Source organism: Homo sapiens, chromosome 17 (assembly GCF_000001405.40).
Source record: "Homo sapiens chromosome 17, GRCh38.p14 Primary Assembly".
Taxonomy (NCBI): Eukaryota; Metazoa; Chordata; class Mammalia; order Primates; family Hominidae; genus Homo; species Homo sapiens.
The window spans coordinates 51,280,504-51,304,864 of NC_000017.11; the positions used below are offsets into that span (position 1 = coordinate 51,280,504).

The following is a 24,361-nucleotide window of genomic DNA, read 5'->3' on the forward strand; positions in this document are numbered from 1 at the left end:
TAAGGATATTTTTACATTTTAAATTTTAGGCCAGGCGCGGTGGCTCACGTGTGTAATCCCACCACTTTGGGAGGCCGAGATGGGCAGATCACTTGAGGTCAGCGGGTAAGATCAGCCTGGCCAACATGGTAAAACTCCGTCTCTACTAAAAAGAAAAAAAGTAGCTGGGCATGGTGGCATGGGCCTGTAGTCCCAGCTACTTGAGAGGCTGAGGTGAGAGAATCTCTTGAACCTGGGAGACAGAGGTTGCAGTGAGCTGTGATTGGGCCACTGCACTCTAGCCTGGGGGACAGAACGAGACTCCATCTCAATAAAAAAATTTTTTTTTTAGCCATCTATCCTGGGCGACAGAGCAAGACTCTGTCTCAAAAAACAAAAGCAAAAAAACCTAGGACCAGGCGCGGTAGCTTACGCCTGTAATCCCAGCACTTTGGGAGGCTGAGGCGAGTGGATCGTTTGAGGTCAGGAGTTTAAGACCAGCCTGGCCAACATGGTAAGACCCTGTCTCTGCTAAAAATACAAAAATTAGCCAGGCATGCTGGCGCTCGCCTGTAATCCCAGCTAGTTGGGAGGCTGAGGCAAAGAATCACTTGAACCTGGGAGACAGAGGCTGCACTGAGCTGAGATCACGTCTCAAAATATATATATATATATATATATATTTTTTTTAAACGAAAAGTTGTGTTTGGTTTTAAAGTTTCTTTTTAGCTAGAAAATCAGATCTATTTTTAGAATTCATTTTTGTTGCCATTGCCTTCTCATTAATAATAGTGGAGGACTAACAATTTAACATGCAGTTTTAACATGTTTGGGGAAAGAATGGGAAGATAATGCTTATTTAAAAGATTATTCAGGGGTAAATCATTCTCCTATGATTCCCCATGCTATGAAAATTAAAATAAAATTTTACATGCCTTTTTTTCTCTATTCTCTCTTTTGTCACTTGGTTTTCAGGAAACCTTCAGGGGGCAAAGGAAAAACTTCCACTACAGTTTCATTTATATTAACATTCTTGAAATGATGAAATCGTAGAAATAGAGAATAGATTAGTGGTTGTGAGGGTTTAAGGAGGATTTGAGGGCAGGAGAGAAGTGGAGGTATCTATAAAAGAGCAACAGGAGGGGTCCTTGTGGTGATGGGAAGTTTTGTGTCTTGACTGTATCAGTGTCACTATCCTGGTTGTAATGTTGTCCTGTAGTTATGCAAAATGTTAACATTGGGGGGGAACTGGTAAAGTAAAGAGTACACTGTGTTTTCTGTATTATTCCTTACAGTGTGTGTGAATCTAAAAGGCATAATTTTAAATAAGTAGTCCTACCTTTCTTAAAAAGATAAGGCAGACATTATTTAAAAAAAGATGATTCATTTGAAGGTTTTCTGACTTTCTTTTTGAAAGTTACTTAAAATCATCAGCCCTTGTAGCAATACTCTCTTGACTTTGATGGTGTGTTAAATTTTCTACATTATTGTCCTTCCTGACATTTCTGTAGCTCTTTTGATTAACCTGCACTGTCCTGCTCTTCTACCTTTCTGACTTCCCTAAGACTTGTTAACTCTTACTGTCTATCCCAAAGGACCATGGGGGCCATCCCTTGGGACAGCTACATAATCTTAGTATAGCTAATGCTGTGTTTGGTAGCGGGAGACTTTCAAGTGGTTCTGCTCTGTGGGTAGTAGTCAGCAACCTCTGTAAAGCTTTTTAGCATAATTTTTATTTGACCTCAGCTAGGAGCATTTGGTAATATAACATTAATAAAATTAATAGCATTAATTAAAATTATTTTTTAACTTTTAAAAAGGATTAATTTTAGCTTAACATTAATTTTTGTTTTGTTTTTGTCCTAGAATCAGACTTTCACAAGGTTATTTACATTGGTATGTTTTTAATCAATGCATATAAGGCCAGGAGCAGCTATATTTTCTATATTATACTAGTTTTTGTGAGAAGAAAGAAGAAAATGAAGAGAAAGAGGAAGGAAGGGAGGGAGGGAAGGAAGGAAAGATGGAAGGAAGGAAGGAAGGAAAGAAAGAAAGAAAGAATTAGTTCAGAGTAATATTCCTGATGAAATGGCCCTTGGCCCTGGTAGAGAGAGAGTCGGGGAGGGAGAAGAGGTTGGGGAGGGAAAAGAGGTGGGGAGGGTTGGTCAGCAGAAGTACTGAAATTTGATATATGAATTGGACGCAGATATAATGTATTTACAAATTTGGTCATGGCTGTGGAGATCTAATTTATCATAAGGTCCTAAGAAAGCAGGGAAGGAGAAATCAAAAGTTGAGCCTTGGTAAGTTAGGGGTAATTTTGAAATGTTGATGGTTCTCTTCCTCTCTCTCCGCTTCTTCCTCCTTTTCTTCTTCTTCTTCTTCTTTTTTTTTTTTTTTTTTTGAGACAGAGTCTCACTCTGTTGCTTAGGCTGGAGTGCAGTGGCACGATCTCGGCTCACTGTAACCTCTGCCTCCCAAGTTCTAGCAATTCTCCTGCCTCAGCCTCCTGAGTAGCTGGAATTACAGGCGCATACCGCCATACCCAGCTAATTTTTTGTATTTTAGTAGAGACGGGGTTTTCTTGTGTTGCCCAGGCTGGTCTCGAACTCCTGAGCTCAGGCAACCCACCTGCCTCGGCCTCCCAAAGTGCTAGGATTACAGGCGTGAGCCACCGCGCCCAGCCACTTCTTTTTTTTTTTTTCAGACTGAGTCTTGTTGTGTTGCCCAGGCTGGAGTGCAGTGGTGTGATCTCGCCTCACTGCAGCCTCTGCCTCCTGGGTTCCAGCAATTCTCCTGCCTCAGCCTCCTGGGTAGCTGGGATTACAGGCACACACCACCACATCGGCTAATTTTTGTATTTTTAATAGAGACAGGGTTTCATCATGTTGGCCAGGCTGGTCTTGAACTACTGACCTCAGGTGATCTGCCCGCCTTGGCCTCCCAAAGTGCTGGGATTATAGGTGTGAGCCACTGCGTGTGCACCCTTTTCTTATTCTGTATGGAGTCGTTTGTGTGATTAGTAACATATTGTTCACATTACATTGTTACATGTAAAGAATAATTTGAGATAAAAAGAGTTGAAGAATTTACCTTTTTCTAACTTTACTGGTTTTGTCTTTGTTTACTCATGGATTTTTTTTTTTTTTTGGAGACAGCATTGCTCTGTCTCCTAGGTTGGAGTGCAGTGGTGTGATCTTGGCTCACTACATCCTCTGCCTCCTGGGTTCAGGCGATTCTCATGCCTCAGCCTCCCCGAGTAGCTGGGATTACAGGCATGTGCCACCACGCCCAGCTAATTTTTGTATTTTTAGTAGAGATGGTGATTCACCATTTTGGCCAGGTTGGTCTCGAACTCCTGGCCTCAAGTGAGCCACCTGCCTTGGCCTCCCAAAGTGCTGGGATTACAGGCATGAGCCACCATGCCTGGCCATCTCATGTTGCCTTTTTTGCCATAAGTCATCAACTCATGACCATTTCATGCACTTGCTTTCTAGATGTTCTTGCTTTTGATCTCTTCCCATTTTAGTCTACTGAGAGACTAATCTTTAAAACACTTTCCTTTATTATAACATTAATGTACAGGCAGACATATAAGGCAAAGGTTTTAATATTTGATCCTATTCAGTTTTCCCAAATGTGTTTTACTACTGCTTAACCTGCACGCTTACTCTAGCCTGGAACATTTTATTTGTTAGGGAGTTGAAACTGAGATTCACTGAATTCTCATTGGGAGAATAAGAGTACATATGGAAGGGTGAACTTTAGAGCAATATCCTGCAAGGAAGGATATTGAGGTACTAGAAAAAGGAAGACGTAAAATAGTGAGGATCCACTTTTGAGATGGATGTAGGGTCATTAGAGTAAACTATTTGTGCTTATTCGTAAGCTTGTGTTTAGCCTTTTTTTTTTAATCATTTAAATAACTTGGTAATAGATAAATTGTGTGTGTCTTCTTAATTATAAATTCCCGTGTTCTGGATCCGTTCATTTTTCACTTCTTCCTCTTCCATCATCATTAACATTTTGGTATCTAAATCGCTAACCTTGCCTATTAGGTAGTCTAATACCTGTTGATAGATGTTGGAAGAGTTACACTAGTGAGTGGTGTTTTGTTTTGCTTCAGATTTTTGCTTCAATAATTTATCTGAGTGGAACTTAGAAGCTTTTTCTAAAAGTTCAACTCAAACCAACAGCTTGTGATTTTTTTCCTGTAAACCTAAAGGTACTGTCTATTAATGACTAACTGATGCAGTTTTCTTTTGTATATGTGAATGTATACAAGAAATATTCTTAGGCCGGGCATGGTGGCTCACACCTGTAATCCCAGCAGTTTGGGAGGCCAAGGCAGGTGGATCACCTGAGGTCAAGAGTTCGAGACCAGCCTGGCCAACATGGTGAAACCCTGTCTCTACTAAAAATACAAAAATTAACTACGCATGGTGGCACAAACCTGTAATCCCAGCTACTCGGGAGGCTGAGGCAGGAAAATCACTTGAACCCGGGAGAAGGAGGTTGCAGTGTGCTGAGATGGCGCAGTTACACTCCAGCCTGGGCGACAAGAGAAAAACTGCATCTCAAAAAAAAAAAAAGGAAAAAAGAAAAGAAATATTCTTAGTCCAGTTTTCCAGAACTAGGAGGGTTATAATAGGTCTGTATTTGTAGTCTCCTGTACTGTTAAGAGGGACTGAGAGTGGCCAGTTTACTTGCCTTTCAAGTTTAAAGCAAAATTAACAACTCTTTTTTTCGCTCTTTTATGCAGGGGATGGAGAAGTTTATGTTTGGGATGTGAACTCAAGGAAGTGCCTTAACAGATTTGTTGATGAAGGCAGTTTATATGGATTAAGCATTGCCACATCTAGGAATGGACAGTATGTTGCTTGTGGGTAAGTAAAGAGAGGTTCTTGTAACCTTAATCACATTGTGCTAATGAGAATATGTTGAGGAATTGAATATACTAGGTGGTGCATGAGTAGTTCTCTTTATAAACTATTCAGTAATATGAAATTGGTCAACCCAGCTGAGCTTTTTTCATTTTATCATCTTTGTGCAGTGTTGAATAATAATATTACAGTAGTTCCCCCCTTATCTGCAGTTTCACTGTTTGTGGTTTTAGTTACCTGTGGTTAATCACAATCTGAAATCTATGTAAGATATTTTGAGAGCAAGAGACCACATTCACGTAACTTTTATTAGGATATATTGTTACAATTGTTCTGTTTTATTATTAGTTGTGTTAGTCTGTTACTATGCCTAATTTATAAATTAAACTTTTTTATAGAGATGTGTGTATAGGAGAAAACACAGTACACACAGGGTTCAGTAATCCACAGTTTGAGGCATCCACTGGGGGTCTTGGAACATACGCCCTGCCAGATAAGAAGGGATTACTATAATTGCAGTTGAACACCTTTTTAGCAAAGAAAATGCTGGCGCTACCTTATATCATTGTATTTTTTCCTATTTAAAATACCTGTTTGATCACATCAAGTTTTCCTATAATTATTTTCAGCTTCTTGTCATTGATGAGGAGATAGAATAAGTAACTTTGGGTTTAAATCTTAAAGATACCTAAAGCATTTTTCCTTTATCCAGCTGGGGGTATAAATAAAAAACATGTTCCTAGGAAATACCATTTGATAGTATTGTAGAAACTTTAAAAATATTATCTAGAACACATTGTACTGTGCTATTACTGAAAACATTGGTTATTACACTGGGGAAAAGATGGCTGTGTTCTACTACTTGATTCTGAAGATGCAGGGTGAGAGGATGAGGCATTGGATACTTCGCAGTAATTCTAAGCTACCTTACTAAACCACTAATTAGAACCCATAATTCTGTAACTTCAAGAAGTAGGTTTTTGTGATTTTCTTAGACCAAACACAATTGAGCCATGAAATGATTTCAGTCAAATCCTCCCTGGGATGGGAAGTCAAGGGGTCTTGTTGTCCAGAAACTTAGCATACTCTCTACTCTTTGTTCACTCTCTCCTTCCAGGTTAAAACTGGGGAAACTGCTTGTATATATATCCCTACCACCGTTTGCAAATTGGAGTTTGGGAGGAAAGGCAAGTAGAACTAGGCTGTGGAGCTTGGAGACCAGGCCATCTGCCTTAGGCAGTAAGACAGTAACAGATCCCTTGGAGGGAGAGTGCCCTGATGAAGGCCCCTTCCTTTCCTACCCATACCCGTGCCAACCCTGTAGCGAGGGACATCTCAGCACAAGCCAAGCATTTACCAGGGTAGTGTGCGCTATGGCAGCAATTCATGAGTAGCAGATCTTCTGGGAATAAAGCTCCTTTAAAATGAAGACTGCTGTTTAAACTCATTATAAGTAGTTTTTAAATTTTTTTTATTATACTTTTAAGTTTTAGGGTACATGTGCATAACGTGCAGGTTTGTTACATATGTATACATGTGCCATGTTGGTGTGCTGCACCCATTAACTCATCATTTAGCATTAAGTATATCTCCTAATGCTATCCCTCCCCCTTCCCCCCCCGACCCACAGGCCCCGGTATGTGATGTTCCCCTTCCTGTGTCCATTATAAGTAGTTTTAAGAACTGCATTTGCCTCTATATGGGGCAAGAAAAACTGCGCAGAAATGATCTTCACTCAGATTTGTGAAGCCAGTCTTCATTGCCCTCTCTTTTTTGTATCACTTTTTATTAGCCCCCTTTGAAGGGCCTATATAGGAAAGAATCTAATACTAGTAGCTTAAACTCATTTAATTTTAATTGCCCTTCAGTGTAATTGATTTCTGATGTGCTTGGCCAACAACCATTTAAGCTTTTAGAATCTTCAAGTTATTCTTAAAGAATCTTAAGCAAATCTTTAAGCTTTTAGAAGAGGAAGAAAGGACAGGGAGATGAGCCTTGAGGTCACTGCAGCAATAGGCAGGCATCAGGTAATGAGTCACCAGGACAGTAGGAATGGCAGTGGGGGAATAAGCAAAGGATGTTTGTAATGTATTTGATAAGTGCTTAGAAGATGGGGAGTGGGAGAGAAGTATTCACATTCTCAGGCTCCAGGCCTGTGCAACCAGAGGAGTGGAATTGTCATTGAAGGGAGGCGGGAGGAGGGGTGATGGTGTTAGAAGAGATAATATGCATGTGGCCACCCCCACAAACCTTTAGGAATGCAGTGCATAATTAGGACTAAAGGCACTGATTTGGATGTGGTGGGTGATAGGTGGTCTGTGGGAGTAAATGAGATGAATGAGACACTAGAAGTAGGTTGGAAATAGAATCCTGGGGACAAGAATCAGTGGAGAAAGAGGTGACTGTGAAGGAATCAGGATGCAAGAAGAGTCAGTAAAGTTTAGCCTTCAAGAAGTCAACAGAAGGGGGAGAATTTGAATTCTGTTTTCAACCTGTTTGGTTGGAGGTTCTATAGGACATCTGTGGCTATAGTGGTGATAGCTGGTCTCTTTGTAACATGATTCCTGTAAATACCAGTTTGTGGGGTTAAATCTATATTCACTTAGGTTGTGAAAGCCCTTTTACTTGGTTTTTAATCTATTTTAATCCTTTTCTCTTTGTAGTTCTAATTGTGGAGTGGTAAATATATACAATCAAGATTCTTGTCTCCAAGAAACAAACCCAAAGCCAATAAAAGCTATAATGAACTTGGTTACAGGTGTTACTTCTCTGACCTTCAATCCTACTACAGAAATCTTGGCAATTGCTTCAGAAAAAATGAAAGAAGCAGTCAGATTGGTAAATATTTCATTACCCCTTTATTATTGTTATTTTTTAAATTTAAGTTGAAAACATGCAAGAGTAACAGGAAAGGAGAGCGTTGAATTATTTTTAAAACAGTGGCTTCTTTTGATATAGGAATTATTAGTATTGTAGCTTTTGGATGTGGTTGTTGGAAGGATGCACAGTAGCCACCACATTTGATTATGTCACTTCTTTCAGTAAAGCTTTGCTGTCCATTCTCACCATTCCTAAAGTGGTCCTCATTTTCAGAGGTTTCTTTTAGTATTAATGTTAAGGACTATATTTAAGGCAGACACTTCATTCCTTCACAATTTTCTTTCCTCATTTACCTTTTTAAGGCCTGTTGTCTTAACAGAACGGAGGCAATTCTCGGGTTTTGAAAGTAAGTTGAACTTGAAAATTAAATTGTATAAAAGTATTGTAATTTAAATAGCTAGGTAGTACCTTTGAATATACCCTTTGTGTTAGGAATCCGCAGGACCACCTCCAGGTTTGGTGGCTAACGAGAGATGACTTCCAGGACTCTGCATATGTTCATTGAACTCATGGCTAAAATGTATTGCAGTGGAAAGGATACAAAGCAAAATCAGCAAAGGGAAAGGGTACATGGAGTAAAGTCCGGAGGAAACCTTCTAAGAGTCCTCTTCTAGTAGAGTCACACAGGACAGTTTAATTCCTCCAGTAATGAGTTGTAACAACATGTGTTAAGTGTTTTCTACCTGGGAAGCTCATTAGAGACTCATTGCAGAAGGTTTTTATTGGGACTTCATATAGGGTACCCTCTGCCTAGCATGTACCAAAATTCTAGATTCCCAGAAGAAAAGCCAGGTGTTTAGCATAAACCACATTGTTTGTACAAACAGTTTAGGCACAGTGAGCTACCCATATCATTTAGGGAAAGTTTCATGCCAGTATAGGAACTGTGTGCTAGTCAAATTCTCCGACACTATGCAGTGGCCACCCTTGTAAGCAGACCTTTCTGTTTTTTTTGTTTTTTTTTTTTTTGAGACCAAGTCTCACTCTGTTGCCCAGGCTGGACTGCAGTGGTGTGATCTCGGCTCACTGCAGCCTCCGCCTCCTGGGTTCAAGCGATTCTTCTGCCTCAGTCTCCTGAGTAGCTGGGATTATAGGCATGCGCCACCACGCCCAGCTCATTTTTGTATTTTTTTTTTTTTTTTAAGTAGAGACGGGGTTTCACCATTTTGGTCAGGCTGGTCTCGAACTCCCGACCTCATGGTCCACCTGCCTCGGGCTCCCAAAGTGCTGGGATTACAGGAGTGAGCCGCCGTGCCCAGCCCAGAACTTTCTAAGGATAGCAGCCTTGGGCCTATGTAAACTCTTTTCTGCCCAACATCAGAGCTCACTTTCAGTGTCACCCCATCTCTGTGAAGTTTCCTAATCTTCAGGCAGAGCCAATTTTCTCATTCATTTAACAATTTTTTGCTCAAGGCACCAGGTATACAGAAGGCATAGAACTTTGAATAGCAGAATTATGTTTGCTGCTATGTGTGTACTACCAGATTGTACGCACTTTACAAAGTGTGTTATTTTTATTGTGCTCACTTGGCAAAAAGCCTTGCATCTGCCATCAGCTTTGTATTAGAATATATCGTTTACAAAGATTTACAAAGAGTTCTACAAAAAGTTTGAGCCAAGTAACAGTTCTTCAGAGGATTAACTTAACCAAAGTAAACAGTTAATAAAGGGCAGAATTGTGATTTAGATTCCACATTTTTTTCTAGCAGTTCATTGGTTTTCTGGCTGAATTCCACAGAGCCCTAGATTCTGCACAGGGCTTTATATGGCATGTAGGGCAAGGAGGAGGCTAAGCTCCTTAACTTGTATCATGTAGAGCAGTGTCATTGTTGTCTGTGGTATATATATTGGGATTCTGCATATGATTTCCTTAAGAAATGTTTTGTTGCGCTGGGCACGGTGGCTCAGACCTGTAATCCCGGCACTTTGGGAGGCTGAGGTGGGTGGATCACTTGAGGTCAGGAGTTCAAGACCAGCCTGGCCAACATGGTGAAACCCCATCTCTACTAAAATTACAAATATTAGCTGGGCATTGTGGTGGGCGTCTGTAATCCCAGCTACTCAGGAGGCTGAGGCAGGAGAATGGCTTGAGCCTGGAAGGTGGAGGTTGCAGTGAGCCAAGATCGTGCCTCTGTACTCCAGCCTGGGTGACAGAGTAAGAGTCTGTCTCAAAAACAACAACAACAACAACAAAATGGTTTGCTGGAAAAAGAGTGTGAAAATTACAGCATAGCATTTTATTGCTATGCTGTTGAATGAATCATTTGATAAATGAGAAGGTTCTAATTCAAGTCAGCTTTAAAATCCCTGCTCCCTAATGGGAGTGGTATACTAGTAATATTAACCTTTTATCACTTTAATGGTAGTAAATTGTTTTAGAAAACCATGGGATCTATCTCCTGTTGACATAATATATTCTGCAAGACACATAATAGTTCTGCATTGTTTGCTTCAGTGATCATGACAGCATTTATATTTTTTTTATTGTGGCAAAATCACATAAGGAATTCATTAGTAAAAGCCAAATCACAGTTTTTAAATGGTAGTCAACCATAATATCTAATGGAAAGAAGCCAGGCATAGCAGCTCCATATAATGCCTTGTAAAAAACATTGTTAGCATTGTTAAATGCAGTCAATTCCTTATAATGATCTAGACGGTTTTGTCATCCCATTACAAAGCACTGTGAATTTAAGCTGTTGGACTAGTAGGAGACTCAGAAGTCAAATTCCTGTTACATCGACAATTTTGGATATAGTAGAACGTCATGGAACTTTCTACCCATTAAATCAAGGATGAGCGAGCTTTTACTTGTTGAATTTTGATATCTGTACACTTAACTGTCGTGATAGAAATGGTATTAGAAAGCTGGCTGCGGTGGCTCACGCCTGTAATCCCAGCACTTTGTGAGGCCGAGGCAGATGGATCACCTGAGGCCAGGAGTTAAAGAAGTTGGATCTTTATAGGCATTTTTCCTAATTAATAGTTCAATTATACCTTTTAAAATGGGGGCTATAAATAGATGTCAGAGCACAGCATAGTTTTAATCAGGTGAGATCATTGGCTTGAGGGAAGATTCACCAATGCATTGAGAGATTACACTGGGGAATTTTGCAGGTAGATGCTGTTGATCTCTTAGGACATTGTAAACAATTCCCCTCCTTTTCCCGATATTCCAAGTCAGTAGCAGAGATAAAGTTTAAAAATAGGTCAGGTGCAGTGGCCCACACCTTAATCCCAGCACTTTGAGAGGTCAAGGTGAGAGGATCACTTGAGGCCAGGAGTTTGAGACCAGCCTGGCCAACATGGTGAAACCCCATTTCTACTAAAAATACAAAAATTAGCTGGGCGTGGTAGCCCACACCTGTAATCCCAGCTACTCAGGAGGCTGAGACAGAAGAATTGCTTGCCCCCAAGAGGCGGAGGTTACAGTGAGCTGAGATCGCACCACTGTACTCCAGCCTGGGCAACAGAGTGAGTGAGACTTGATCTCAAAAAAAAAAAAAAAGAAAAGAAAAGAAAAGTCATTCAGATAGAAAGGTTGGTTCTAGTGTATTTTGATGAGGAAGAGTCAGAAAACCAGCTCCCCAAACTTCAAAGTCATTCCAGGAAAGTTGGTGAGTGAATGCCTGAGGCCTAGTTTCATAGTATCAGGTGAATAGGGTGGGAACAAAAGGCAGAGGTAGAACAGCTTTGTCCTCACCCCTTGTAGCAAATGTTTTTTTCCTGATCATCTGCTTTCCTGATGCTTTGGATCATCTGTTCATAGTTGGGGCATGCTTGAAGGATACAAACTTACAATAACCCAAGTGAAACACAGTTAAGCCAAGGTACTTATCACAAATTTATATAATATCTGCCTTCCCAAATTAAATGTAAATAAATTTTGCAATATCCATGTTGTGGCTTCTCTCTGTAAAACAGGAGTCTGCTTTTTTACTAAGTGCTTGAAAAAATATATATACTTAAAAGTAATTTCTCGAGGAACCTGTATAGAGAGTGGTATTTAAGAACTTTAGAAGTGAAGTCCAAATTGGGGTACTGCCAACTTCTTAGCTTTAATGGGTCAAGACCACTTCTCATTAGCACCATTGCCTTCACATTGATGCCACGCTGTGCAGGCAGAACCTGCCTTCTGGCAAAGTTGAAAATAATTGAATGTGGCTTGGAGATTCACTGTAAACAGTATTTTCTTGACAAAATGGTCAGTAAGTATGTATCAGAATTTGGCCTAATATGTGACTGACTGAAACCAGTTTAATAGGTGTATGTATCAGTGGTTTTTACCCAGCACTTGCCTGTGAAAATCACTTTGATGGTATAAAGTCTGACCTAGAAGTGTGGAGGATGACTAACTGCCCAGCTGAATGATAACGGTTGTATATATTTGAACATGAAGGTGCTATATCTCTTGGGAGAGCTAGAGAACATCTGAAAGTGAGTGTTGTTACAATTGTGGCCTAAAGGTAACTGCTTCCATACCTGGGTTTTATTCATCCACAAATTGGGTGAGGACCTGTCTCAACTCTCCTGAACTTAGGAAGTAGACTCTGGAGAAAGAGACTGTGTGTGTTCCTCCTCATACTTACGTCTGGCTTTGAGGTGAGCTTTTGGCTCTCTCTAAATCAGAACAGTTTCACTTGGAGTTAGATTTTCATGATTCAGCCCTCTTCGAGGAGAAATTGTAAAAGGCAAAGTGTATATACAATAGTTGAAAATTAAAAGTACAAAATGGCAATTTTATGATAGTAGAATATATGTGGTATGACTTTGCCTAGGCTTCAGTTATGTAAAATCAGACTTTATAATGTTTAATTTTTTTCACCATTTAACTAACCAGATGAACCTTCATGTTTAAAATCTCTTTTCCCTGTGATCAGATTTTAGTATTCTTTACTGTGGTCATTAAGCTAGAGTGGGTACTTTTTGCTTTAGTTTATTCATTAATTTACTCATTCAGCAAACATTTGAATCTCTGAGGCATCATGCTGGATGCTGTACTGACGCTTTTTTCTCTTTCTTCCTTTTCTGCTCAGTTAATAACACATTAAAGATCAAATTTTATAGTGTGTACACATGGACACAGTAGAATAATAGGCATTGGAGACTTGGAAAGGTGGGAGCATGGGAGAGGGGTAGGGGATGAGAAATTATCTGATGGGTACAGTGTACATCAATCTTGTCCAACCCACGGCGCAGGACGGTTTGATTGTGGCCCAACACTAATTTGTAAACTTTCTTAAAACATGAGTTGTTGTTTTTTTTTTTTTTAAGCTCATCACCTGTCGTTAGTGTTAGTGTATTTTATGTGTGGCCCAAGACAATTCTTCTTCCGTTGTGGCCCAGGGAAGCCAAAAGATTGGACACCCCTGTCCACCATTGGAGTGATGGTGACACTTAAGAGCCCAGACTTCACCACTGTGCAAGAAATTCATGTAGCAAAACTGCAGCTGTATCTCTTAACTATAAAAATAAAGTAATAAAAAAAGATCAAACTTAATTTTGGAACACTTTGCTGCACTAATAGACTGTACTTTCTTGTGTGCTACAATCAAAATGAGCTTTATGTTTCAGCAGGAAGATAGAGTGAAGATTACAATTTAAGAAACATGAGCTCCCAGTTGTTACACTTTAAAGTTTTTTATTATCTCCTGCAGGTTCATCTTCCTTCCTGTACAGTATTTTCAAACTTCCCAGTCATTAAAAATAAGAATATTTCTCATGTTCATACCATGGATTTTTCTCCGAGAAGTGGATACTTTGCCTTGGGGAATGAAAAGGGCAAGGCCCTGATGTATAGGTAGGTATTATTTATGTTTAAAAGTCAGAGATACCTATAAACTACTTCTGACAGTATGAAGAGATACTATATATTCCTAATTCTACAGTTAATAAATTCTAGTCTGTTTATCTTGACTCTCATCTTCATTATCTTACTTTGGGTTATTTTATTTTATTTTATTATTATTATACTTTAAGTTTTAGGGTACATGTGTGCACTGTGCAGGTTTGTTACATATGTATACATGTGCCATGTTGGTATGCTGCACCCATTAACTCGTCATTTAGCATTAGGTATATCTCCTAATGCTATCCCTCCCCCCTCCCCTCACCCCACAACAGTACCTGGAGTGTCATGTTCTCCTTCCTGTGTCCATGTGTTCTCATTGTTCAATTCCCACCTCTGAGTGAGAACATGCGGTGTTTGGTTTTTTGCCCTTGTGATAGTTTGCTGAGAATGATGGTTTCCAGTTTCATCCATGTCCCTAAAAAGGACATGGACTCTTTATTTTTTATGGCTGCATAGTATTCCATGGTGTATATGTGCCACATTTTCTTAATCCAGTCTATCATTGTTGGACATTTGAGTTGGTTCCAAGTCTTTTCTATTGTGAATAGTGCCGCATCAATAAACATACATGTGCATGTGTCTTTATAGCAGCATGATTTATAATCCTTTGGGTATATACCCAGTAATGGGATGGCTGGGTCAAATGGTATTTCTAGTTCTAGATCCCTGAGGAATCGCCACACTGACTTCCACAATGGTTGAACTAGTTTACAGTCCCACCAACAGTGTAAAAGTGTTCCTATTTCTCCACATCCTCTCCAGCACCTGTTGTTTCCTGACTTTTTAATGATCGCCATTCTAACTGGTGTGTGATGGTATCTTATTGTGGTTTTTATTTGCATTTCTCTGATGGCCAGTGATGATGAGCATTTTTTCATGTGTTTTTTGGCTGCATAAATGTCTTCTTTTGAGAAGTGTCTGTTCATATCCTTCGCCCACTTTTTGATGGGGTTGTTTTTTTCTTGTAAATTTGTTTGAGTTCATTGTAGATTGTGGATATTAGCCCTTTGTCAGATGAGTAGGTTGCGACAATTTTCTCCCATTTTGTAGGTTGCCTGTTTACTCTGATGGTAGTTTCTTTTGCTGTGCAGAAACTCTTTAGTTTAATTAGATCCCATTTGTCAATTTTGGCTTTTGTTGCCATTGCTTTTGGTGTTTTAGACATGAAGTCCTTGCCCATGCCTATGTCCTGAATGGTATTGCCTAGGTTTTCTTCTAGGGTTTTTATGGTTTTAGGTCTAACATGTAAGTCTTTAATCCATCTTGAATTAATTTTTGTATAAGGTGTAAGGAAGGGACCCAGTTTCAGCTTTCTACATATGGCTAGCCAGTTTTCCCAGCACCATTTATTAAATAGGCAATCCTTTCCCCATTTTTTGTTTTTGTCAGGTTTGTCAAAGATCAGATGGTTGTAGATATGCAGCATTATTTCTGAGGCCTCTGTTCTGTTCCATTGGTCTATATCTCTGTTTTGGTACCAGTACCCTGCTGTTTTGGTTACTGTAGCCTTGTAGTATAGTTTGAAGTCAGGTAGCATGATGCCTCCAGCTTTGTTCTTTTGGCTTAGGATTGACTTGGCTATGCGGGCTCTTTTTTGGTTCCATATGAACTTTAAAGTAGTTTTTTCCAATTCTGTGAAGAAAGTCATTGGTAGCTTGATGGGGATGGCATTGAATCTATAAATAACCTTGGGCAGTACTTTGGGTAATTTTCTACCATAAAATGTCACTAGCAGGAAACTTCACCTGGGGAATATATATATTTTTTGGAAAGCACTATTTTGAGAATGTCAAATTGAGAAAAAGCCACTTTAATAATATTTCCACTTTCTTCGTGCCTTATGTTTAGATTAGCTTTTGCTGATTTAATAATTCAGTTTACTCCACTAGATTTAATTGATTTCTTTTTAAAAGGTGTTTCTTTCCCTGTAGCTGTAAGCTGTAAATAAGGGTGTTAACCACAAAGATAACCAAAACTTATATGCGCTGTCCAGGTTCTTTTCTGTACCCAACATACTTGGCTATAAAACAGGAACAAACAAAACCTAATTGCATCATTGCTAGAAGATATAGGTGACAAGGTGGATCTTTAGGGAGAACTAAAGAGCTTTCAGTAGAAAACTTGTGATGTAAATCACAGCCCTCTTGCCTTGCTCCTTGTGTTGGTAGTGAATGCTACATAGAACCCTGTGTTTATGTTTGTATGCTTTAGGGAATTCCTGCTTTCAAAACGGACTAAAATCTGGAGTGAAGAAAAGGAGGAATGTAAATTGGTTTTGAGGAAATAGTTGTGAAAGGAGAATATACCAGACAATAATGTGGTTTACAGTTCTACTTACTTTGAAAGGAAAACAGGTTATACCAGGATAATTTCATCAGTCTCATTTCAGATCAGATTTGGAGTGGTTCTGTTTCAGTTTGTATTTTATAAAAGGATGCAGATTCTTATTGCACTTAGAATTTTCTTCCAAATCCTTTGGTATTTTTATAAGTGAAATTTTTTTTTCTCTAAGACCCAAAGGCCATTAGATTTTCCACCAGAGCATTGCTCTTTAGAATGACACTGTTTCTAGCTATACCAGTGACTGGAATTGACTGATGACATTTTTATTGTTTATGTCTGATCAGGTATTTCATAGACCCCCCATGTGAAACTTTGGAGTAAGCCTACTCATGTTACCTAAAATCTGAGGCGTTCAGATCCTCCAGAATGTCAGATTGAGGAGTCTGAACCTAACTGCCTGGTGTGAATGATTGTGATTACATATTTTTCCCACTAAAATCTTCCTAAGTGCCCTTCTGTGATCTAATTGAAAACACTGTGGGTAATTACAAAGTTGTTCAGATGACTTATTTTTTACTTTTCCAGGTTGCACCATTACTCAGACTTCTAAAGAGACTATTTGAAGTAAGAAAACCCTTTTCTTACAAATTCTGCAGGTTTTAAGATACACCCATTGCTGTCAGTTGGTGGAAGCAGCACATTAGCTGAGCTTTGTTTCTCTACCCCTAAGTTACTGCATCTTTATTTAGAGGGGTGGGTTGGAAGTAGATCAGGAACTGTCTAGCTGAAGTTGGACCCTCCTTTCTTATCCCAAATCACAGCAATCTGGCTCGGTTCTTCTGAGGTCTGATCTCTAATGTTGCATTCAATAATTCTCATCAAAATTGTAATTACTGAACATGTTTAATCCACAAAAGACTTAATAACACAGAGAGATGGGTCTTCAGATATAGCTATAGCTTGTATGAGCTTGAATCCTCTTATTATATATATGTTTCTTGAGAGATTAGCAGCTTGCTCTGTTTCACAGAGCTAGATAATGGGGCTGGCCATTAGTTCTGCTGCCCAATATTTAAAACCATAGAACATCCTTCCCTTCTCATGGTGTCCTTTCAGGCCTGAGATGTGGTGGTTCTGAGATTGAGCTTTGCAATTGGCCTCTTCATCACAGTTGACTGTTTGGTCTCCTCAGAGATTAATGAATGTTGAGGGACTTTGAGAATGCAGATAGATTTAATTAGGACAAAGGATTTTTAAAGGTACAGGCATTTTGGGCAAAGCTTTAGCAAGGAGGGGAAAGCAGTTTAGCTCTCCTGTCTCAAAAGATTACATTGCCAGTACGTGTCTGTTGATGACCAGCAGCTATAAATCAGGTATGTAATTTCTTTTGTTCTTTCCTCAGGTCCAGTTGAGTCACAAGAGAAGCCTGTCTTGATATATCATCTCAGAAACTTTCCTGAATATGTGATAATATATGGAAAATGATTTATAGATCCAGCTGTGCTTAAGAGCCAGTAATGTCTTAATAAACATGTGGCAGCTTTTGTTTGAAAATAAGTGTATCTGGTTCTTCCCTCCACCCCCAACACACACACACACAAACTTGGATGCATTTAAGACTAAACATGAGAAATTGGAAACACCTGTCTGTAGCCAAAAATAATATAAGCAGATTTTCTCATACTTCTCATACAGCTAACCCTGATGCATAGATCTCTTCCTGAATAGATCCCCCTTCCTGAATCGATCCTCCATGCTTTAGGGGATCAGCTAACAGGTAGTCTCTTGAGCTATGGAGGTCAGTCGGCTTGATATGAGAGCAGTGAAATCTCACGTAGTGAAGTTTGAACTTCCAAGTCTTCCAGGAAAGATGATTTTGGAAATGAAAAGGCTTTTCTGGCCTTATTACTTCAAATCTTTGTCATTGTCATTTGAAGAGGAGCCATAGTAAACCTGGTAGCCTTGTCCTACAGATTATTAGCCACTGCCCTTCCTGGAAATGTTCATTATGCCAACTTAAATGTTTAATTTGTATTTCAAGGTTGGCAGCTGGCTCCATAGTTCTCTTATCATAATATAACCTTGCTTGAGACCAGTCCTTACATTTCTTAGGAAGAACTGACACCATATCGTGCATTTAGGAAGTATTAAAGGGGTTGGGCGGGTGTTACGAGAAGTATCAAGTTAGGTCTAATAGCTTTTAGCCCCACCCTCTACTAAAACATGGAAGAGAGAAGTCGGCGGAGGAGGGAGTTTTTTCAGCAACAGAAAGTAGCTTTGCCCGGTGAAGTAATAGGTTCCAGGTCAGTGGAGAGTCCCTTCGTGTCTTCAAGGCTCTCCTGGGTCAGCTGGAGAGGACGTAGGACATAGAGCAGTCCAATAGGTATGGGTTGTGTTAACTTATCCCAGTGTCTTTCTAAAAGAACATTTTCTGTTGAGATGGACTGTTGCAATCTAATTGTGGAGACCCTTCCCCTACTTCCTCCTTTTTCAGCAACTTTTTCCATAGTAAATACTATTAATGCTAAAACCTTGAATTCCTGAAACCAGTGGGATTGTTAGTGCTATTTCTCTCTCCCATTGCTAGAGGGCAGCATTGGATCACATGAATAGTTGAAGGCAAGGCTTTTGGAGCTTTTTGCTGTCACCTTGTCCTTAGCTTCAGCAAAATTGTTTCAGAAATGGACACCAAGCCTTATATGTGCTTATTTTGCGTATGGTTTTCAGTTCCCAGAAGTGTGACAGTTTATAGGAACTTATCCTACAGAAAATGATGGAAGCAGAGTCTAAATTTTAACTGTTCTTTGTTAAACTCTCTAGATCATTTTTATACACTACTAGGAGCAGAATAAAGAATCCAGTTCTAATCTCCAAGATAGACAGATGTGCTATTTGTTCTACAGAGGTGCTACTAATCCTGTGTCTTGTATTGTAATGTTTAATATTTTTTCCCCCTCAATGAGAGTTAGGGATTCGAGTCAGACTTTCATTGCGTCTCCTTGTAACCAGTGCCAAGCTAATTCTTCAAGGAAATGAGATCCATAGCCATGAAATTCTTTACAGATGCTCTTTTGGCAGTTGCTGTGACAGCATGAAAGTGGCTCATGTCTCTCTGTTTTGGGGGGAACCATCTTGAGCTGTGAGGTGATATTTTGCCATCCAGAGCCACACAGGATGTACTTGGGTATACTTTGATAAATCGACAAGTTGAAATCTTTGATGTATCCCATTCATCTCTCCCCCACATCCTCACTAATAGTTAGTGAACCGAAGAATGATTAGTCTTACGAAGACGTTTCCTCTGTTTAAACAAAGTCCAGGTGAAAAGTCATTTGCCTTACCGATGGACGTTAAGTGTGTGCGTATGTGTGTGTTTCTGGTACGGATATGTAACCTGTTATAAGCTGACCAGCTGAAGGGTTTGTAGGCATATCTGCACCTCCAGTTTGAGGATGGGATGGAGGCAAGCAAATGCCCATGAAGTCAGGTGCTGGCTCACAGCTTCGAAGAGTTCTTAAGCTACTTGGGATGATACTTAAATGCATCTGCAAAGTCATTACACAAGAAACAAAGCATTTTCCATTCTTTTAAACTGGAGGAAATGGAGGCTGGCGGAGAAGGTAGGCTGTGGGGATGTGGATAGCCTTTCCGACCCCCTGGTGCTGTAATTGTGCTGACATCAGTAATACATACATAGAATCTCATATAATTCTCGTTCCTCTGTGAGGAAAATAACATTGTCATTTTACAGGAAAGTAAATTGAAGTTTCAAGAGATTGAGCATCTTGGTCCCAAAGCCATCATTTTGACATAGATCAGTGGTCCACAAAGCAGGGTTTGCATACTCTTAAGGGTATGAGATACAGCCCTTTAGATTGTGGGAAGGAAATACTAGAACTTCTATGCTGTGTAAAAAGTATTTTTGTCCCAGTTACTCGGGAGGCTGAGGCAGGAGAATCACTTGAACCCGGGAGGCGGAGGTTACAGTGAGCCAAGTTCATGCCACTGCACTCCAGCCTGGCAACACAGTGACACTCCGTCTCAAAAAAAAAAGTATTCTTGTTACATAATGTATTCATACTGTAGATCATAGAGATAACTTAGAAACAGATAGGGTTTTTTGTTTTGTTTTTGTTTTTGAGACGGAGTTTTGCTCTTGTTACCCAGGCTGGAGTGCAATGTTGTGATCTCGGCTCACTGCAACCTCTGCCTCCTGATTCAAGAGATTCTCCTGCCCCAGCCTCCAGAGTAGCTGGGATTACAGGCATCCACCACCACGCCCGGCTAAATTTTTGTATTTTTAGTAGAGACGGGGTTTTGCCATGTTGGCCAGGCTGGTCTCGAACTCCTGACCTCAGGTGATCCACCTGCCTCAGCCTCCCAAAGTGCTGGGATTACAGGCGTGAGCCACTGCACCCGGCCATAAACAGATATGTTTACATTGGTACATTCAATGTACATTTCTTTTTTTTCTTTTGAGACAGGGTCTTGCTCTGTCACCCAGGCTGGAGTACAGTGGCATGATCATGGCTCACTGCAGCCTCAATCTCCCAGGTTCAAGTGATCCTCCCACCTCAGCCTCCCGAGTAGCTGGTACTACAGAGGCACCCCACCACGCCCATCTAATTTTTATATTTTTAGTAGAGATAGGGTTTCTCCATACTGCCCAGGCTGGTCTTGGAACTCCTGGGCTCAAGCAGTTGCCTGCCTCAACTTCCCAAAGTGATGGGATTATAGACGTGAGCCACCGTTCTCACCTCAATGTACATTTCTTATTAAAGGACCACTGGCCTGGGTGCCTGGCTGCCATGCCAAACTTGACACATTTCCACACCCTGTCCTCCACTGTTCCCAAACACTTTTTATGTTCCCTATAATGTTAAAGCTTCTCCATTAACTGTCACATAAGCTAGGTAGTTTAGACTGACTTTAAACTTGAGTTTTTTCTCTAGCCCAATCCCTGCTACAAAGACTGGTTCAAAGCATTATGTTTCCAATTTTTCTCTGTAATGAGTAAGACCTAGTATTTAATGGCACAACAAAGTGACAAAGTGACTATAGTCAGTAATAACTTAATTGTACATTCTAAAATAACAGTGTAATTGGATTGTTTGTAACAAAGGATAAAAACTTGAGGGGATTGATAGCCCACTTGCCATGTTTTATTTTTATTTTTTTTGACAGAGTCTTGCTCTGTCGCCCAGGCTGGAGTGCAGTGGCACAATCTTGGCTCACTGCAACCTCCGCCTCCCAGGTTCAAGTGATCCTCCTGCTTCAGCCTCCCGAGTAGCTGGGATTACAGGCGCCCCCCACCACATGTATTTTTAGTAGAGATGGGGTTTTACCATATGGGTCAGGCTGGTCTGGAACTCCTGACCTCAGGTGATCCACCCACCTCGGCCTCCCAAAGTGCTGGGATTACAGGCGTGAGCCACCGTGCCCAGCCCCATGATGCAATTCTTACACATTGCACGCCTGTATCAAAATTCTATAAACTTAAAAAATCTGACTTGATTACAGACAGAACAAAAAGTTGGCGACAGAGTCAAATTCCATAAAATATTTGAGGGAATTATTCTGAGCCAAATATGAGTGACCAAGGCCCGATGCAGACTCTCAAGAGATCCTGAGAACATGTGCCCAAGGTGGTTGGGTTATAGCTTGATTTTAGATATTTTAGGGGGACAGAGGCATGTAAGGAAAATACATTTTGGGGCCCCCAAATCACTAAGCTAAAGGGAAAAGTCAAGCCAGGAACTGGTTAGAACAAACCTGCCTCCCATTCTATTCAAAGTCATCCCTGTGCTCACTGAGATAAATGCACATCTGATTGCCTCCTTTGGAGAGGTTAATCAGAAACTCAAAAGAATGCTACTGTTTTTCTCTCACCTACCTGTGACCTGGAAGCCCCCTCCCTGCTTCAAGTTGTCCTGCCTTTCTGGACAGAACCAATGTACCTCTTAACATATATTGATTGATGTCTCATGTCTCCCTAAAATGTATAAAACCAAGCTGTGCCCTGACCATCTTGGGCACACATGTTGTCGGGACTCCCTGAGGCTGTGTCACAGGTGCAAGTCCTCAACTTTAGCAAAATAAACTTTCTAAATTAACTGAGACCTGTCTCAGATATTCAGGGTTCACATTTTGGTAACCACAAAGGAACTCTGAGTGGAGGTGCCTCCCGGCCTTTGACAAATCTCCTATTGGTGCTTGGTACCATCTTGAGCTGTCTTGATGGCTCAAACCAATAGGGCAATTTGCTGAGGCCTGGAAGCACGCCCTCCAGAGAATCCCTGATCTCTCAAAATTTGGTCAAGATCTGAAGTTTATTTTGCTTTACAACTCCTTTTTTTCTTGTGAGTTTTATTTGCTTCCTCCAGCACAAGGAAGGCTAGTTTTCCTGCTTCCATGACAAATAGGTTACTCCTTTAGGGCTTTGAGCTTGCTCCCAACAGGGAAGGCAAATTTGAGGGTTTTTTTTCCTGCTTCTAGGATAATAGAGAGCAGTCTCCAGCCTGAGACCTGTCCCTAGGTAAGTAACTGAATTGGGGTTTGTCTTGGCTAAAGTTAAGGTTAACAACCAACTGGTCTTCATTTCTCCTTACCATTAGAGTGCTCAGTAATCATTTAAGTTGTGCAATTGTTTGTTTTGCTTAACGGTTTTGTTGTTGTTTGTCTCTGTTTTTGTTCTTTCAACCTTTTTCCCATTGGGTTTGACCAACTGTATCTGACTTGATCAAGTCCAAAGAAAGTTTCAAATTATGGGGAACAAGCCCTCTGAATTGGCTAAATTCCCAACATACACAAAAAGGTGGACTTGTTATGTAAATAAAGCCCTTAAGTAGTCCAAATAAACAATCTTTCCTTTTTTTTCCCCTCTTGCTGGCTGTTTTTCAATTCCCCCATACTCCCCCAACACCCCCCTTCCCACACACACAAAGGTGGTATGGTGAGGGGAGAAAAATGGCCAGGAAAAAGAAAAAAAAAAAGGAAAGATATTTGATTTTGATTACTTAAGGGGCTTTATTTACATAAGAAGGCCACCTTTTGGCTAGCCAGGCCAAACTGTAAGAGCAATGGCTGTTACCCTACAGTGGAGTTCCATAGCCAATGTTCTGCCTTCTTTTTATCACCACGACAGCCTGGGTTTTGTCCCTAAATGAAGCCCTTTCTGGTTTAATACTTGGTACTTCTGAAATAGCAGCAATTTGTCCTATTTGAAATATGGTAATGAAATCTAAAAATATTTTTTTAAAAGGAGCTCAATGGTTAAAAGTCAGCTCAATTAAAAGCTAACATCGAAGATGCGTGTGTGTGTGTGTGTGTGTGTGTGTGTGTGTGTGAGTGTTTGTATTTTAAAGGCCTTCATTTTTTTTTCCTCTTAGGACCTTGTCTTTTTTTTGAACAAAACCTTTTTTCTTCTCTGTTGACTGAATTCTGTTTTCTTTATTTGCTTCTGCTGTCCTTCCTTTCTCTTGCACCCTCTGCTGCATGAAGACCTAAAATAGTTTATAATAGTCTGAAGTTCCTAAAAGGAAAAAGAGAAGGTATAATCCCAGCACTTTGGGAGGCCGAGGAGGGTGGATCACGAGGTCAGGAGATCGAGACCATCCTGGCCAACATGGTGAAACCCCATCTCTACTAAAAAAAAACACAAAAAATTAGCCGGGTGTGGTGGCAGGCGCCTGTAGTCCCAGCTACTCGGGAGGCTGAGGCAGGAGAATGGCGTGAACCTGGGAGGCAGAGCTTGCAGTGAGCCGAGATAGCGCCACTGCACTCCAGCCTGGGCGACAGAGTGAGACTCTGTCTCAAAAAAAAAAAAATAAATAAATAAATAAAAAAACAGAGAAGGTGCCAGACTCCCTTTTGGGAAATGTCTGTTTTTCCTTATGGAATCCAAAGAGTGTAAACAGACAAGTTCGTCTCAGCTTTCAAACTGCTTTCTTTTGTATTGTGTTACCTGATTTTTTTAACTAAAATAGTTATTGCAACAGAGGCAACTCTTGGGTTGTTAAGGAAGAATGTAGTTTAGACACTTAGAAATGTCTTTGTTAAAAAAATTTTTTTTGAGTGCACTGGAAAAGCATGAGGTCTAGCCTCATAGTAATTCTCCCTTTTTGGAGATCCAGGATTCAGTGTGGGCTCTGCCCAGAGATCAGAGATCCACTTAAAAGGCAGATAGTCCGTATCTAAATAAAATTGGTTTCCTTATACAATCCTATGATAGATTTCTATAATTTTATGTTTGATTTGGCATCCATCTTTAATCTCCCTCTAGCAACACCAGACTTTTTCTCTCTGTACCTTGAGATGTAAATTTTGTTACCTGATTTTTCACCTAAGAGTTGTTTCCTTCGATATGCAGATTTAAGGCAATTTAGCTGACAACTGCCAGGGTAATGAAACAGGTTATGAAGAGTTTGCAAGTCTAAGACAGGAAAAAAAAAAAGTAGGTCTTATGAATCTATAAGATGTACTTCTA

The 24,361-nt window shown here is 40.2% G+C and overlaps 1 protein-coding gene across 3 annotated transcripts in view; it reads left to right on the top strand.

Annotated features, from left to right (window-relative positions):
- The window catches only part of UTP18 (UTP18 small subunit processome component), a 37,388-nt gene extending 19,958 nt beyond the window's left edge, over positions 1-17,430 (top strand). The window contains exons 10-14 of one of the 3 annotated variants that reach the window (NM_016001.3): positions 4,742-4,865; positions 7,526-7,700; positions 13,400-13,542; positions 16,462-16,500; positions 17,279-17,430. In NM_016001.3, the coding sequence (NP_057085.2) occupies positions 4,742-4,865; positions 7,526-7,700; positions 13,400-13,542; positions 16,462-16,486 (467 nt within the window). In that variant the 3' untranslated portion in view covers positions 16,487-16,500; positions 17,279-17,430. Of the gene's footprint in view, positions 1-4,741; positions 4,866-5,979; positions 6,312-7,525; positions 7,701-8,044; positions 8,690-13,399; positions 13,543-16,461; positions 16,501-17,278 lie in introns of those variants that run through there. The other 2 variants (XM_011524870.3, XM_006721930.4) reach the window with 2 other exon arrangements.
- The last annotated feature ends 6,931 nt before the right edge of the window (positions 17,431-24,361 follow it).